Source organism: Homo sapiens, chromosome 10, assembly GCF_000001405.40.
Source record: "Homo sapiens chromosome 10, GRCh38.p14 Primary Assembly".
NCBI lineage: Eukaryota > Metazoa > Chordata > Mammalia > Primates > Hominidae > Homo > Homo sapiens.
In genome coordinates, this window is record NC_000010.11 from 117,238,535 (window position 1) to 117,252,282 (window position 13,748).

The 13,748-nt window shown below is 48.6% G+C and overlaps 1 protein-coding gene and 1 long non-coding RNA gene across 3 annotated transcripts in view; one reads left to right on the forward strand and one right to left on the reverse strand.

Moving 5' to 3' along the window:
* Positions 1-230: 230 nt before the first annotated feature.
* On the reverse strand, positions 231-3,463 carry SLC18A2-AS1 (SLC18A2 antisense RNA 1). 2 transcript variants are annotated; one of them, NR_184310.1, is made up of 3 exons: positions 3,351-3,463; positions 3,127-3,249; positions 231-1,647 (listed from the first exon to the last, which is right to left on the reverse strand). It is a non-coding gene; the product is annotated as an SLC18A2 antisense RNA 1 (long non-coding RNA). The 2 variants fall into 2 exon arrangements; NR_184309.1 differs by lacking the exon at positions 3,127-3,249.
* Positions 2,580-13,748, forward strand: part of SLC18A2 (solute carrier family 18 member A2) — a 38,317-nt gene continuing 27,148 nt past the window's right edge. Inside the window, exons 1-3 of the mRNA NM_003054.6 lie at positions 2,580-2,686; positions 3,145-3,280; positions 5,437-5,779. Of these exons, the coding sequence (NP_003045.2) occupies positions 3,160-3,280; positions 5,437-5,779 (464 nt within the window). The 5' untranslated portion in view covers positions 2,580-2,686; positions 3,145-3,159. The remainder of the gene's footprint in view (positions 2,687-3,144; positions 3,281-5,436; positions 5,780-13,748) is intronic.

Below are 13,748 nucleotides of genomic sequence, written 5' to 3' on the forward strand. Positions count from 1 at the left end.
AACTTTTGTTTTGGATTCAGGGGGTACATGTGCAGGGTTGTTACACTGGTATATTGAGTGATGTTGAGGTGTGGGGTATGACTGATCCTGTCCCCCTGGTAGTGAGCATAGTACCCAAGAGTTAGTTTTTCAACCTTTTCCCCCCTCCCTCCCTTTCCCCTTTAGTAGTCCCCACCAGGGTCTGTTGTTGCCATCTTTATGTCCACGTGTAGAAAATTTTAAAAAGCTAATGCATATTCACATATTTATTGTGGTTCACATAATAGATAGGTGATGAATACAGAATTTAAACAATAAAAGCATTAGGGTAGGATACAATTCTGTTGGAAAACGGAATGGAAACATACTTAAAAGGGGTAAAGAACACAATGTAAATATTTTGACTGTTAAAGGGATACTTGTTTATATTCTTAAGTATAACATGGCAGTTTTGTATTCTTATACAAATTCCTTTGGGTATATTTAAAAGAGAGAGATAATAATTTTATACATAAAGGTCAATAAATACAATATACCCTATTTAAATATATGATTAAAAAACTCATTTTAGATGCCAACTTGAAAATGTGTAAGGCAAACATATTGTTAAACATTTTTTAGGGGGTTTCAACAAAAAGTCTGTTATAGGCCATAGTGCTCTAGGGGTGGTGACAGTGATCCGGAGGCGGGAACGCCGGGCTGGCATTGTCCCTGGAGCCATCTACATCCAGCTGGCTGGGCTGGAGTTTGGTGTGGCTTCCAGTGTTCACTGCTATGATGCTGCTATCAGGTCAGAATGTCAGCAGGGATTTGTCTAGGCTTTACTGTCTCCCCAGCATTAACCATAGTGCCTGGCACGTAGTAAGAGCTCAACACATATTCAGCGCATGAATGAGGGGCCGGCACTTACGGAGCTCTCACTTTGTGCCAGGCACTGTGCTAAGAGCTGCCTATGCATTCCCCTGGAATTCTCACAACCACGCTGCAGTAGGTCCAGTGAGTATCCCCATTCCAGAGATGGCGAAACTAAGCCACAAAGAGGATACATAACCAGCCCAAGGCCACCAGTCAAGGAAGTAGCAGACTGGGACCTGGGCATCCTGGCAGGCACCCTTTACCATAATGCCTCTCTGTCCCCATGTGGTCCCTGGGGTAGAGTCTGCATCCTTGGGTTCTGAAACTCCAGAGCAAGCACTCTGGGGCACTCCCTGAGTGATACCCTCCTGCCATCTTAAACGGCTCTCTGCCATCTGCTTCCTCCTCCTAAGTGGTTTTCCTTCTGTCCTCCCTGTTTAATGTTTAAGTTGTGCACATCCTGTGACATCCTGGAGACCCATGTTCCTGACCTACTTACCTATTCAACCATCTCTTCTCACACATGGGGTAGCAATGAGAAGCACAGGGGGTCTCTGCAAGGGAGTAGGGAGGTGGAGAGAGCGGGGGCAGCCACACATCACACTGCTGTTCTCAGTGGCCTCCTGCTGTCAACAAGCTAACATTAATAAAACAAGCCCACTCTTCTGCTAAGAGACTGTGACAGGGTAACATTTATTCTAGGTAGCTTTTCAAGAAAACAGCTCTTGCTCCCACGGTCCCCTCGGAGGGCCTGCAGAGCTCCAGCGATGTCAGAGGGCATCTGTTTGTTTCTCCTTTGCTTATAAAAGGGACCTGGAAATCAAAGGCAGGCTCTTAGCCCTTAGCAGTGAGGATGACAGCTCTGCACCAGCCACACGCAGGCCCCTGGCTCTAGGAACCACCTCTCACCCAGACGCCCAGGCACAGCATGGTGGGGAGAGAGTACAGGACACAGGGCCTAGGCCTGCTGCCCCGCCCACAGCCCGCCCCCTAGCCCTTTCTCTGAGGCCAGGTGTACTCACCTAGCCTCCAGGGTCCCCTGCTCAGGTGGCCCCAGAGGCCCAAACCCACTGCTCCCACTTTCTGAGACCTGGGACCCTCACCTCCCCAACTCCCACCATAGGGCGACACTGAAAAGTGTCCCCTTCCCCCCCCCGTTTCCAAGTCACCAGCTTGAGGATGCCCAAGGCTCAAAGGCTCCTCCGAGTGGCACCCCGCATCGGGCTGCAGAGGTCGGAGAGGGGAGGGGATGGTGGGTGCAAAGGGTGGCTTCTTCAGGAAAGGGAAGCCTGTCCCTGGCTCCCAGCACCTGTCACCCCTGGCGATCTCACCCCGCGGCCATCATTCCCGTCCTCACGGCCCATTTCAGGGACACTGAGGCTCAAAGAGCCACGTGATTTATTCAAAGCAGCTCGAGCCACCACTTGGAGCCACAAGAAAGCCCTGGTCCGTGCCTCCTCGCCTTGGTCCCTGGCCCTTCACTCTTCGTCCAGGCTCTCTGACCTCTTTCCCTCTGCGCCCCTGCCTCTTCCCCAGGCCTGGGTCCCCAAGGCACTCGGCCACGCGCTGGGTCCGGGGAAGAGGCGCGGCCGCGGCCGAGGCGGGGACAGGGAGGCGGCAGCCCCTCCTGCGCAGCGACGGCGCGGGCGGGCGGAGGCCGGGGCGCCCCAGCCCCCCGCCCCCGCTCCCTCCGGCCGTGACGTCAGAGCCGGACGGGGTAAACTGAGCGGCGGCGGCGGGGCGCTGGGGCGGAGACTGCGACCCGGAGCCGCCCGGACTGACGGAGCCCACTGCGGTGCGGGCGTTGGCGCGGGCACGGAGGACCCGGGCAGGCATCGCAAGCGACCCCGAGGTAACACGGCCCCGGTTCCCTGCTCGCAGGGCGCGGTGCCGGAGGGGAGCGGGCCCGGGGGAGGCAGGGAGGCAGGGAGGCCCCCAGAGCTACGCGGGCGGGGCTGCGGGGACCCCGGGGCAGCCGGGGCGCAGGGCGCAGGGCGCAAGGTGCACGGGGCCGAGCGTGCAGTTTGGGAGGTGGCACAGTTGGGGGCGGCGGGGATCAGGGCAGCGTCCTGGGGGTTCTAGGTTGGGTCTCCAGATTGGGTCCCCGACGGCGCTCGCGGGCGCTCTTTCCAGGGAGCGCGGGCTCTCGTGGGGACGCGCTCGAGGCAGGTGAGCCGAGGCTGGGGCGCCCGGGGGTGTCCCCGGATGCCGGTGCGCGCGGCTCCCTGACCCGCCCTTCCGCGGCCTGGGGGACGGGAGAATGGGGGGTCCACGGCCGCCTTGGGTCCTCACCGCGCACCGCGCCCGCAGCGGAGCCCCGGAGCCATGGCCCTGAGCGAGCTGGCGCTGGTCCGCTGGCTGCAGGAGAGCCGCCGCTCGCGGAAGCTCATCCTGTTCATCGTGTTCCTGGCGCTGCTGCTGGACAACATGCTGCTCACTGTCGTGGGTACGTGCGGACAGGGCACCCCTGCCCCGGCACCCCAGCCCCAGCGCCCCTTCCCCGGCACTCCACTTACCCCTGCGCGGTCCCGGAGCTCCGCCAAGGCCCGGGAAAGTTGGAGAACTCGCTTTGCAAAAAAGACATCCCCTCCAGGCTGCCGCGCCGGGGCTAGGAGGAGCCGCGTTGTGTGGCTTCGCTTTCCTGATGCTCGGGTCAAAAACTGTGACATCCGATAAGACCCAGAACTTATGTTTCCCCCTGATAATTTCCCGCATCCTCTTGCCTGCTTTCACTGCGATGAAAAAGATTTCTGTTCCAAAAGAGAAATTCCTAAAGTTCAAAATTACGTGTTAGAATAATTATTGGGCTACTCGAAAAGGCAGGTTAGTAATTTGGTGTAGTACCTAAAAGAGCAAGTTTCGATCCCTTACTCCAAAAACAAGACATTTAGATATACTGTATTAGTGAATGACTTGAGATGGAAATATTTCAGGAACCATTGCAAGAACAATTTGAACAATCTTGGTTCTATTATTTTTCCTATAGTGGAATTTTGAAAAATTAAATAATCGAAATCCAGGTCCCTTAATTAGGCCCATTAACAGAGAAGTATTTGGCATGCATTTCCTTAAAAAAAAAAATCCCAGTTTTTAATGAATGAAAAAAAAATCACGACTCATTTAGACTGTAAGTGGTGGGAGCTGTTTCCTTTCTCTCCATTTGCAGGTTTTCTCACAGCAGTTTTCAGAGCATCTGATAGGTTTCATCTCGAGGAGTTATCAGAGCCGTGGAGCTCATCCCTGTTCAGTACCAACGGCATTAGTTCTGCTTCGGCTCGAATGCTCCATTGGACACATGTGCTCACAGCTTCGATTATATGTTTCACAATTTAATTTGTATTTTTTGTTGTTGCTTTTTATTTTGGTTTTTGTTTGTTTTTTTGAAATGGAGTCTCACTCTGTTGCCCAGGCTGGAGGGCAGTGGCACAGTCTTGGCTCACTGCAACCTCCACCTCCCGGGTTCAAGTGATTCTCCTGCATTAGCCTCCCGAGTAGCTGGGTTACCGGCATGCCCCACCAAAGCTGGCTAATTTTTGTATTTTTATTAGAGACAGGATTTTGCCATGTTGGCCAGGCTGGTCTTGAACTCCTGACCTCAGGTGATCTACCCGCCTCGACCTCCCAAAATGCTGGGATTACAGGCCTGAGCCACCGTGCCTGGCCTGTTTCAGTTTTGCTTTTTCCTTGTGAAAGCCTTAGGAATTCTTAAATCTTACAAGTTGTAGGAAAAATTACAGATTCCCACTCATAATAGAAGGATGAAGTGGGCCTGTTGCAGAATTTCCAAGTTATTACTTCCTGCAGGTTAATTTTTTTCTAAGACACATAATGAAGTGTAGTTTTCTGTTTCCTTGATTCATTCATTTGAAAGTCTTTTGAGCCTCTCTTTCTTAGAAGCACTGGTTGACTCCAGGTCAGCACTCTCTTAACGTCAGGCCACATTTTGCTTTTCTGAAATATTCCTTGAAGGAACAATGTGGAAGAAACCCACAAATGACAGAATCTCTGGGACCAGTCAGTTCAGCACAGCAGCTGCCTTTTGAGAGGAGACAGTTCTCAGGGCCGTTGGGGGCATGGTTCTTTCTAGTGAGCTAAGTAAAGTGAACTTGCTCCAATGTCGTTATAGACATATGGCACAGGGCTCCTGTTTTGGGGTAGACCTGTCACCCTCTGGACCTCTTCTGGCATTTGACACAACCATAGTTTTGTTGTTGTTATTGTTGTTTTGTTTGTTTGAGACAGAGTCTCACTCTGTCACCCAGGCTGGAGTGCAGTGGTGCAATCTTTGCTCACTGCAACTTCCACCTCCCAGGTTCAAGCGATCCTCCTTTCTCAGCCTCCAAAGGAGCTGGGATTACAGGTGGGTGCCACCACGCCCAGCTAATTTTTGTATTTTTAGTAGAGAGAGGGTTTCTCCATGTTGGCCAGCCTGGTCTCGAACTCCTGACCTCAGGTGATCCACCTGCCTCAGCTTCCCAAAGTCCTGGAATTACAGGTGTGAGCCACTGCTCCCTGCCGACACAACCATAGTTTTTTGCTGGCTTTTTTCCTGGAGAGGGTTTCAGTGTGATCACCACCTTGCCATTCTGCTCTTATCCCCAGTCCCCATCATCCCAAGTTATCTGTACAGCATTAAGCATGAGAAGAATGCTACAGAAATCCAGACGGCCAGGCCAGTGCACACTGCCTCCATCTCAGACAGCTTCCAGAGCATCTTCTCCTATTATGATAACTCGACTATGGTCACCGGGAATGCTACCAGAGACCTGACACTTCATCAGACCGCCACACAGCACATGGTGACCAACGCGTCCGCTGTTCCTTCCGACTGTCCCAGTGAAGACAAAGACCTCCTGAATGAAAACGTGCAAGTTGGTCTGTTGTTTGCCTCGAAAGCCACCGTCCAGCTCATCACCAACCCTTTCATAGGACTACTGACCAACAGGTAGGGCAGACTACTTTAGTCAAAGAGTTTGATATTTGTATCAGTCCTAGCTTATGTCCTTCCTGGAATTCTGCTTCTTACTCATTGGTGAGAGTCTGGAAAATCCATGGTGGGTGAGCTGGGGAAAACCCAGTCCCCTTCCCCTATGTCTCTGTTCCCAGATAACCACAATTTCCTATTCTATTCTCCCTTCTGTTGCTCAACAAGTAAGAAAATATTAAAGAAGACAGAATAAAGAGGACCTCTTCCACCAAGTGGGAGGACTTTGGCCTGTCTAAATGCCAGGTTTCGTAAGTGCATTTGTCAGAATCGCCCTTGGCAGCAGGAACTCTACAGCCACCATGGCTGTCATCCTATTTTATGAGCCATGTGGCCTCCTCTTATCTCCTACCTCAGGCCATGCACTTCTCTGTAGAGAGCCAAGGTGTCTTCTTTTGGAACTGGCATGTTAAAGCCTCTCACAGATACCAGGTAGGGAGTGTGGGAAAAGGTTGGACGCACTGGTGCGCAGATGGAGCTCCGAGTTGATGCCGAGGTCATGGGCTGTGTTCTTCCCTTCTGCTGGCTACGTAGCCACGTCCACGTGCATGAAAGGAAGAGAACTGAGGCTGTTGTCTGGATAATCCAAGCTGCCCAAACTAGCTTCAGATGAATCAGGCTGTTCTAGATTTTTTTGAACCCACATTGTTTGGAATAACTGTTTACTTCTCCATTGTTGGTGAAGTGTTTGTTCTTCTGTAGCTGAGGTGGACCAGTTCTGCCTGGTCCGTGGGGGCTCAAAGCTCAGGACAAGGGCCTTGCAGCTGAGAGGAGGAGGCAGGCCCCCAAGGTGTCAGTGCAAGGAGTGGGAGCTGGTACAGTTAAGTGTTGGTGGTGGGCTGCCAAGTGCGCAGTGTAGCTACCTAGGTGAAAGTTACAAAACACCAGAAATGGTGGGGAGGGGTGTGCCCAGAGTCCTACCTGCAGACCAGGCCCAGAAGCAGGAACAAAGACTAGACTAGAGATGGAAGAGATGGTGGCGAGGAGAGGGTGGAACTAAGGAGGCAGGGGAAACCAGGGCTGGGCTAGGCTGTAAGAGGCCCCAAGTGCTGGGCTGAGAAAGGAGTGGGATTCTGTGTGGGGCAGTTGGGAGCCATTAGAAATTCCAAAGCCAAAAAGAAATGAGTGAATCAAGCACTATTTTAAGCAGGGTAGGTGGGCAGGGAGCAGGGAGAACTTCACATTTCCTCTGCCTTTGGCGTGGGGAGTGGGGCGCAGGACTGGCTGCATAATTTGTGGGTCTCGGTGCAAAATGAAAATGTGTGCCCCACATTCAAACATTATGAAACACTTCAAGGTGGCAGCAGAGCATTAAATCAACCAAGCTCTGAGAGCAGAGCCCTGTGCGACTCTAGGGTTAGGGGCACCGAGAGGTGAGGAAGCCTGGGGTGGTGGCTGGGGCTCAAGGAGGGGATGGCAGATCTGGCCTTCCGCCAGCACAAGCTGCCTTGGACACATGGAGCTTGAGTCGGACAGGAGCACATTCTCAACATCTGCAGTTGAATTTTCTGGATGGAAGGGTGCCATTGAATTGATTTCAACAATCTCAAGCCATGTCCAGCCCTCTAGTCTGTGCAGAGCAATATTCTAAGGCTGCTACATAAAACATGCTAAGCAAATTAACCCAGCGAAGGGCTGACTGTGAGCCCATTAAGAAGGTGACATTCAGTGACTCCTCTGTTCTCAGGAGAAAAACCAAACCGACCTCAGTAGTTGCAGGATTGTTTTCTTTCCTTTTTTCAAGACTAAGAATGCTTCTTAAAATGCATCTGGTATAATTACAGAAAATAGCTCAGGGTTTTGTATTCTGAGAAAGCAAACAGCTCAAATATTGTATGTGAAAATTGAGGACATTATCGTAATAATACCTTGCCAATCACTTGGGTGGAACGTTACTAGCCGTACAGTGTAATACTTAGAAATTCGGCTGAAATGATGTGAGTACTCCAATCTTCCAAACGCAAATGGCAAATGAAAAGCTTTTTTAAAAATCCCATTCTTATTTTTAATGCTTTGCTTATGCCATGGGGAAGAGGCTTGTTTAAAACCAGTGAGCTCTTTCCCCTGTTAAATACTCCAACGGCTTTGAGGCTGTAGCCACACCAGGCTCATGTTTGGGACTTCAAAAACATTATCTTCCATTTTGTGACTTGTGAAATTTAGTCTATTCTCATGGTGAGTAATCCACTTTAGAAATTATCTAGAGCAAAATTGTAATCCCCAACTGTTTTGTCCAGCTACCGAGCAAATTTGAAAATGATTTTCTAGTGCTGCCTGGTAATATGGAAGGACAAACAAATTTTTTTTTCTTTTTTTTTGAGATAGAGTCTTGCTCTGTCACCCAGGCTGGAGTGCAGCAGTGTGATCTTGGCTCACTGCAACCTCCACCTCCTGGGTTCAAGCAATTCACATGTCTCAGTCTCCTCAGTAGCTGGGATTACAGGCGTGCACCACTATGCCTGGCTATTTTTTGTATTTTTTGGTAGAGACGAGGTTTCACCATGTTGGCCAAGCTGGTGTCGAACTCCTGACCTCAGGTGATCTGCCCACCTCGGCCTCCCAAAGTGCTGGGATTACAGGCGTGAGCCACCGCCCTCAGCGAGCAAATAAATTTTCATATTGTGATCCTGATTTGTAATTTGTCTCATAATTTCCAAGCCCAGTAGATATGAATTTGGGGACTGGGCAGCTCTTCTGGACACTCCAAGATTCTGCTTCCCACCGCAGTTCAGATGGATTCAGAGAAGGGACAAATGTGCATTCCATTTGCCTTTAATTGTCTTCAAGGAGTTAACTTGTGAGCCATTGCAAACAGTCTTTTGATGTAAACTGTGCCAATCACATCCTCCATGAGCAAGATGTATGACTCAAGTCTTCAGTGTTGTAAACAAATGTGTTTAAAGGCTTTTTAAAATTGGTTAATATGTTTCTGATTAAAGAGTAGTTAAAAATATGGAGCATCAGAGCTTGCAGAGACTTTTCCTGAAAGCTTTTGGGCCAGTCCTAGCATTTTATAGGCAAAGGAGTTTGCAGTTCAGGAGGAGAAAGCATTTACCACAACAGTGGCAGGACTGTAGCCACATGTTCCGACTGTCCCATTTCAAGCTTTGTTCTTCCCCGCTTCCTGTTCTTCCCACCTGCTTACAATTATACAGCTTGTACCTTTAGCTACTAGAAATAAAGAATGCAGCTCAAAATCTGTCTTTCTTGCACTGACTTGGGCTCTTCCTGGTTGTACCAGGCAGAACTGCTGGAGACCCAGTGAGTTGCTGATTTTGCTACTTTTAATCAATGAGCAGAGAGTTTAGAAAAGATCAGCCTGATTCCTGTGGACATGGAACCTCCCTGGTCCCTGAAATATTCAGTCTTTTTCCAGTCCCTGATGTGAACTGGTCCAGCCTCGTGCATCCCTAAAGATGTGTGGGGAAAGCTTCCTGTAGTCAGGCTGGGCAGAGCTATTCTTTTCCAAAGCTGCTTGTTTTAACTGAAGTGGGACCCACTCTGAATCGAGACATTCTACACCACACCACACCATAACTGGAATCCTCTATTCACAGTCGTGATGGTGCCATGTGTGTGGCTTTTGTGGGTAGGAGTCACAAAATGTAGGCCGCCTGTTTATTTATTTATTTATTTAGACAGGGTCTTGCTCTATTGCCCAGGCTGGAGTGCAGTGGGGCTATCTCGGCTCACTGCAACCTCTACCTCCCAGGTTCAAGCAATTCTCCTGCCTCAGCCTCCTGAGTAGCTGAGACTACATGCCACCATGCCTGGCTAATTTTTTTTGTATTTTAGTAGAGATGGGGTTTCAGCATTTGGCCAGGCTGATCTCGAACTCCTGACCTCAAGTGATCCTCCTGCCTCAGCCTCTCAAAGTGCTGGGATTACAGGCGTGAGCCACCATGCCCGGCCCTGTCTGTTTTTTTTAAATATTCGATAAGTTCTCACACCAAACCCTGAAAATATAGAGTAACAATTCTTGGGTTCATTTAACTGCTAATAGGATGCACATTCTTCCTGTTTCATTTGTTATTCAGATCCTGTATTTCTGCTGAAAATATATGACCAGTTAGGTGGCAAAAACCTTTGATTTGGGTGTGTGTAGTGATGACCTGGCCAATAGCACACTTTCCAAGAAAGCCTGAGGTTGCTGGATTGACCTGATTTCCATGTTGGAACCTCTTGCCTCCTATTTTATAATTTTGGCTGAACTATTCATTTCATGATTGCAGTTGTGTGCAGGTGGTACCAGAAATTATACTAGTGATACTTGGTCATCATTTGGTCTAAGAAGCAAATTTTAGATATATATGTCCATAAGAGGAAAGTTCCAGGCACATGAACAATGGGACAACACGTTTACATTTCTCTCTTCCCTCAGTCAGGTAACGATATGGCATTGTGGTCTTGCTTAGCATAAGGTTGAAATAATAGTTGCATCTTCAGAACCAAAAGATATTCCACACCAAACGACTGGCTTGGGAAAGAGTTAACTTCATTGCTGGGGACCGTTTCCCTTGCTTCCTTCTTAGCTTGTCATTGTCTCAGTGATCTGCTTTTTATCAAGCCAGCGTCAATGGCTTAATTTATTTCCATAGTTACTTAGTATATTTGAAAGCAGTTCTTTTTGCTTGCAAATCTTAGCTAACATCTGAACGACAAGGAGGAAGCCACAGGGCATGAAATCTCTACGAAATCTACCATGGTTTTATTTTATTTTTTTGCTAGCTTCAGCCAGTGGGTCTGAAGTGGGCTGTGTAGGAACAAGCAGTGACCTTTTCAGCTTCTCTATGGACAGGGAAACCGGCTGTTCTGAGAAGAGATCTCCCATCCTGCATGTGGTTAGGATGGTAGGGAGGGCTTGATGAGTCTTTGCTTCTGAAATCAGAGGAAACTGGCTGTGGAATTAGAACATTCCTAGGAGAAGCAAAAGCTCTGTTAAGCTATGTGTCAGAGAACAGGGCTCACGCCCAGGAAAGTGAGAAGTCCGTGCCCCCTGGAATTCTCTGGTAGCTGAAAAAGACAAGCAGAACCTAAGAATTTTGACAAGCGGAATCGAAGAATTTTATTTACTAAATGATTGACAAACCTCCTACTATATCCAGGCAAATTGAAAATATCATTCCATTTACTGACATTCATTTACTGCACACCTTTTAGGAGTGTGTAGGGATCACTGGAAGGGAGCTGTTGTCTCTCGTTGCATCTGGTGATAGTTTGCACCCTTCGGGGCTCTGTAGTCTGTATGCTTCTTGTAATTTACCACGGTAGAGGAAACTGTGGTTTTAGCAATCATGAGAAGAGAGCTTCCATTAGTCTCTATGGCAAGGATAAGCTAATTATTAACACTAGAGAAGTATTGTCTTCATTGACCATTTAGGGACAGATGGGGTTTCTCCAATGACTAAGTATATATAATTAACATAACTTTTATTGTTTTACATGTTTTTCTAGGGATTCATTATGTGATTTTTAGTCTTACTCAAATTGGATTAACTGCTTCGTGATGCTCTGTAGAGGATGACCGTGGGCCAGTATGACATTTGGCTAAAGGTTTGCTGAATCAGATCTGGCTCTGCTTAGCAATACTTTAATTGAGAAGGCCCTGAATTGAGACAAGGGGGGCAACTCAGACACAGATTGTGACTAATGTCAGTTGAGTTTCTGTCTGTTTAGGAGATACTGTGGGGAAGCAGAAAGGGTTTGGTCCTTCTGCCCACCACTCAATGACTAGGGACGCTGGACGACTCTCCTTCTATGGTGGGTGCCCGAGGGGCCAGAAGAGTTTGAGAACGGAGACCCAGGAGCTTCCCAGGGAGTCTTCTTTGCCTTGAAGCCGAGCTCTGGGGAAAAATGATGCCCAGCGCTTACCACTGAGCAGCCCATGCAGTGGCTTGGCCTGTGTTGAAAGTGCAGGCACAGGTGTGTCCGGTACTGAGGAGGCGGCAACATGAGCCTGGTTGTATCTGAAGCCATTGGCTTGCTCTGCAGCCATGGGTGAGCCACTCTGTCTCTGAACCTCAGCTTTCTCATCTAAGGTGAGGGTTTGGACTGGCTAGCCCTTGAGTTTCCTTCTAGCTGTGATATTCGTTTATTCCATACGTGCATTGTTAAAATCCCAAAGAAAATTAAAAAGAAAAACAGTAGCTGCAGTGTTTCTAAAGAAAACACAGTACCTCAAATGGTAAAAAGAACCCTCTGTAGGCACAAACGCTGTGGTTTTCAGTGAAACTGTGCACTCTCCATCCCATGTGCTCCAGCGTCCCCACCCAGGTGCACATCAGCAGGGCCTAGCACATGTTAACACACTCAGGGTATGCCCGTAGCCTTGAATTTGGGGCAAGTAATTCACCTCCCCGAGCCTCAGTGTTGATCCTCTGAAAAATGGATAAAACCAGCTACCCTCCCTTGGAATCTCAGGCCACCCAGCATGCTGGTTCCCTGCCTACAGTCGTGGGAATGTCTGAGTCTTCAGGTAGGGAGGGACCTCAGTGGCTTCCAGCCCACCACAGCTGTGCCCTGATGGGTTACCTGGAATACTGGCTGGACTGAACAGTGGGCACAGTATGGCTGGTGGTTTGGGGGCCACAGACAAGGGTTGCCACATTTTATTGAGTTTTGTCCTGAAACCACCCAGTGTTTCTGCCTACAGTCTGGGAAAGGGCCACAGATGTCTTATTTGCCTTCAGGGATGTCCCTGCAGCCTGAAGGGTTCCATATTAGAGCCTTATAAATAGCCAAAATGAAGAACTGGTGAAACAAGAGTGAAGCCCCTAATTCCAATAGCTTTGATACGTATTGGTACTTCAACAACTAGATTTTCCAAATATATATTGAACAGAGGGAGAAGCCTGTGTTTATTCCAGGACAGCCCGGAAGATTGTCATATGCCCGTTCTTTCATGGGACAAACTGTAGTTGCTGAAAATAAATTGCCTGTGAGTTCTCCTCTCTGAGCCTCCTGGACGTTTCCTGATTCAGTATCCTGCAGTGCCGTGTGAGCCCCCGGTGTTGGGTTTCTTTTGTCCACATGAATAAGGGGTACAGAGAATCAGCTCTGGGTGGGCTGAGACAGAAGAAGCTGTCACCCGATGGCCATCTGAACTGCAGGTCAGAATCCTGGCATCTTCTCTGGTTTACCCAATTTGCTTGGGGCCCCACTTTGTGAATTACAAGCTCATCTCTGTTCACAGCAGGGGAATCTTTGCATGGTTTGTGGGAGGGGACTGACTGTCTGGGAATCTGTCATGCTTGTGAGTTACTCTCTGTATTTTTGGTATTTGGTTTCTGGATACAGGTGAAGCAGTTAAAAAATATTTGAATATGGTCAAGAGAACTTTTGGAAAGATTCTATTTAAAGCTATATATGCCGTTTGGGTACTGGCGGAGGTGGTAAAATTTACAAGGAAAAGCCATGTGGGAATGGCCCAGGCGAAATTAGTCTGATGACATCTGATAAGTAATGACAGATATCATGCCTCAGTTTCCTCATCTGTAACATAGGGAGGTGAAATAGGGCCCTTATTAAATCATGACTAAATCTGGTGGGTGTAAATGCTTGGAGAACTGAGTGTAAACTTTAAATGAAGGCGCTATGATTATTTTTTATTTATTTATTTACTTTTGAGACAGAATCTCGCTCTGTCACCCAGGCTGGAGTGCAGTGGCATGATCTCAGCGCACTACATCCTCTGCCTTCTAGGTTTAAGCAATTCTCGTGCCTCAGCCTCCCAAGTAGTTGGGATTACAGGTGTGCACTACTATGCCTGACTCATTTTTTGTATTTTTTTTTTTTTTTTTTTTTTTTTTTTTAGTACAGACAGGGTTTTGCCATGTTGCCCAGGCTGGTCTTGAACTCCTGAGCTCAGGTGATCCGCCCACCTCGGCCTCCCAAAGTGCCAGGATTACAGGCATGAGCCATCATGCTCAGC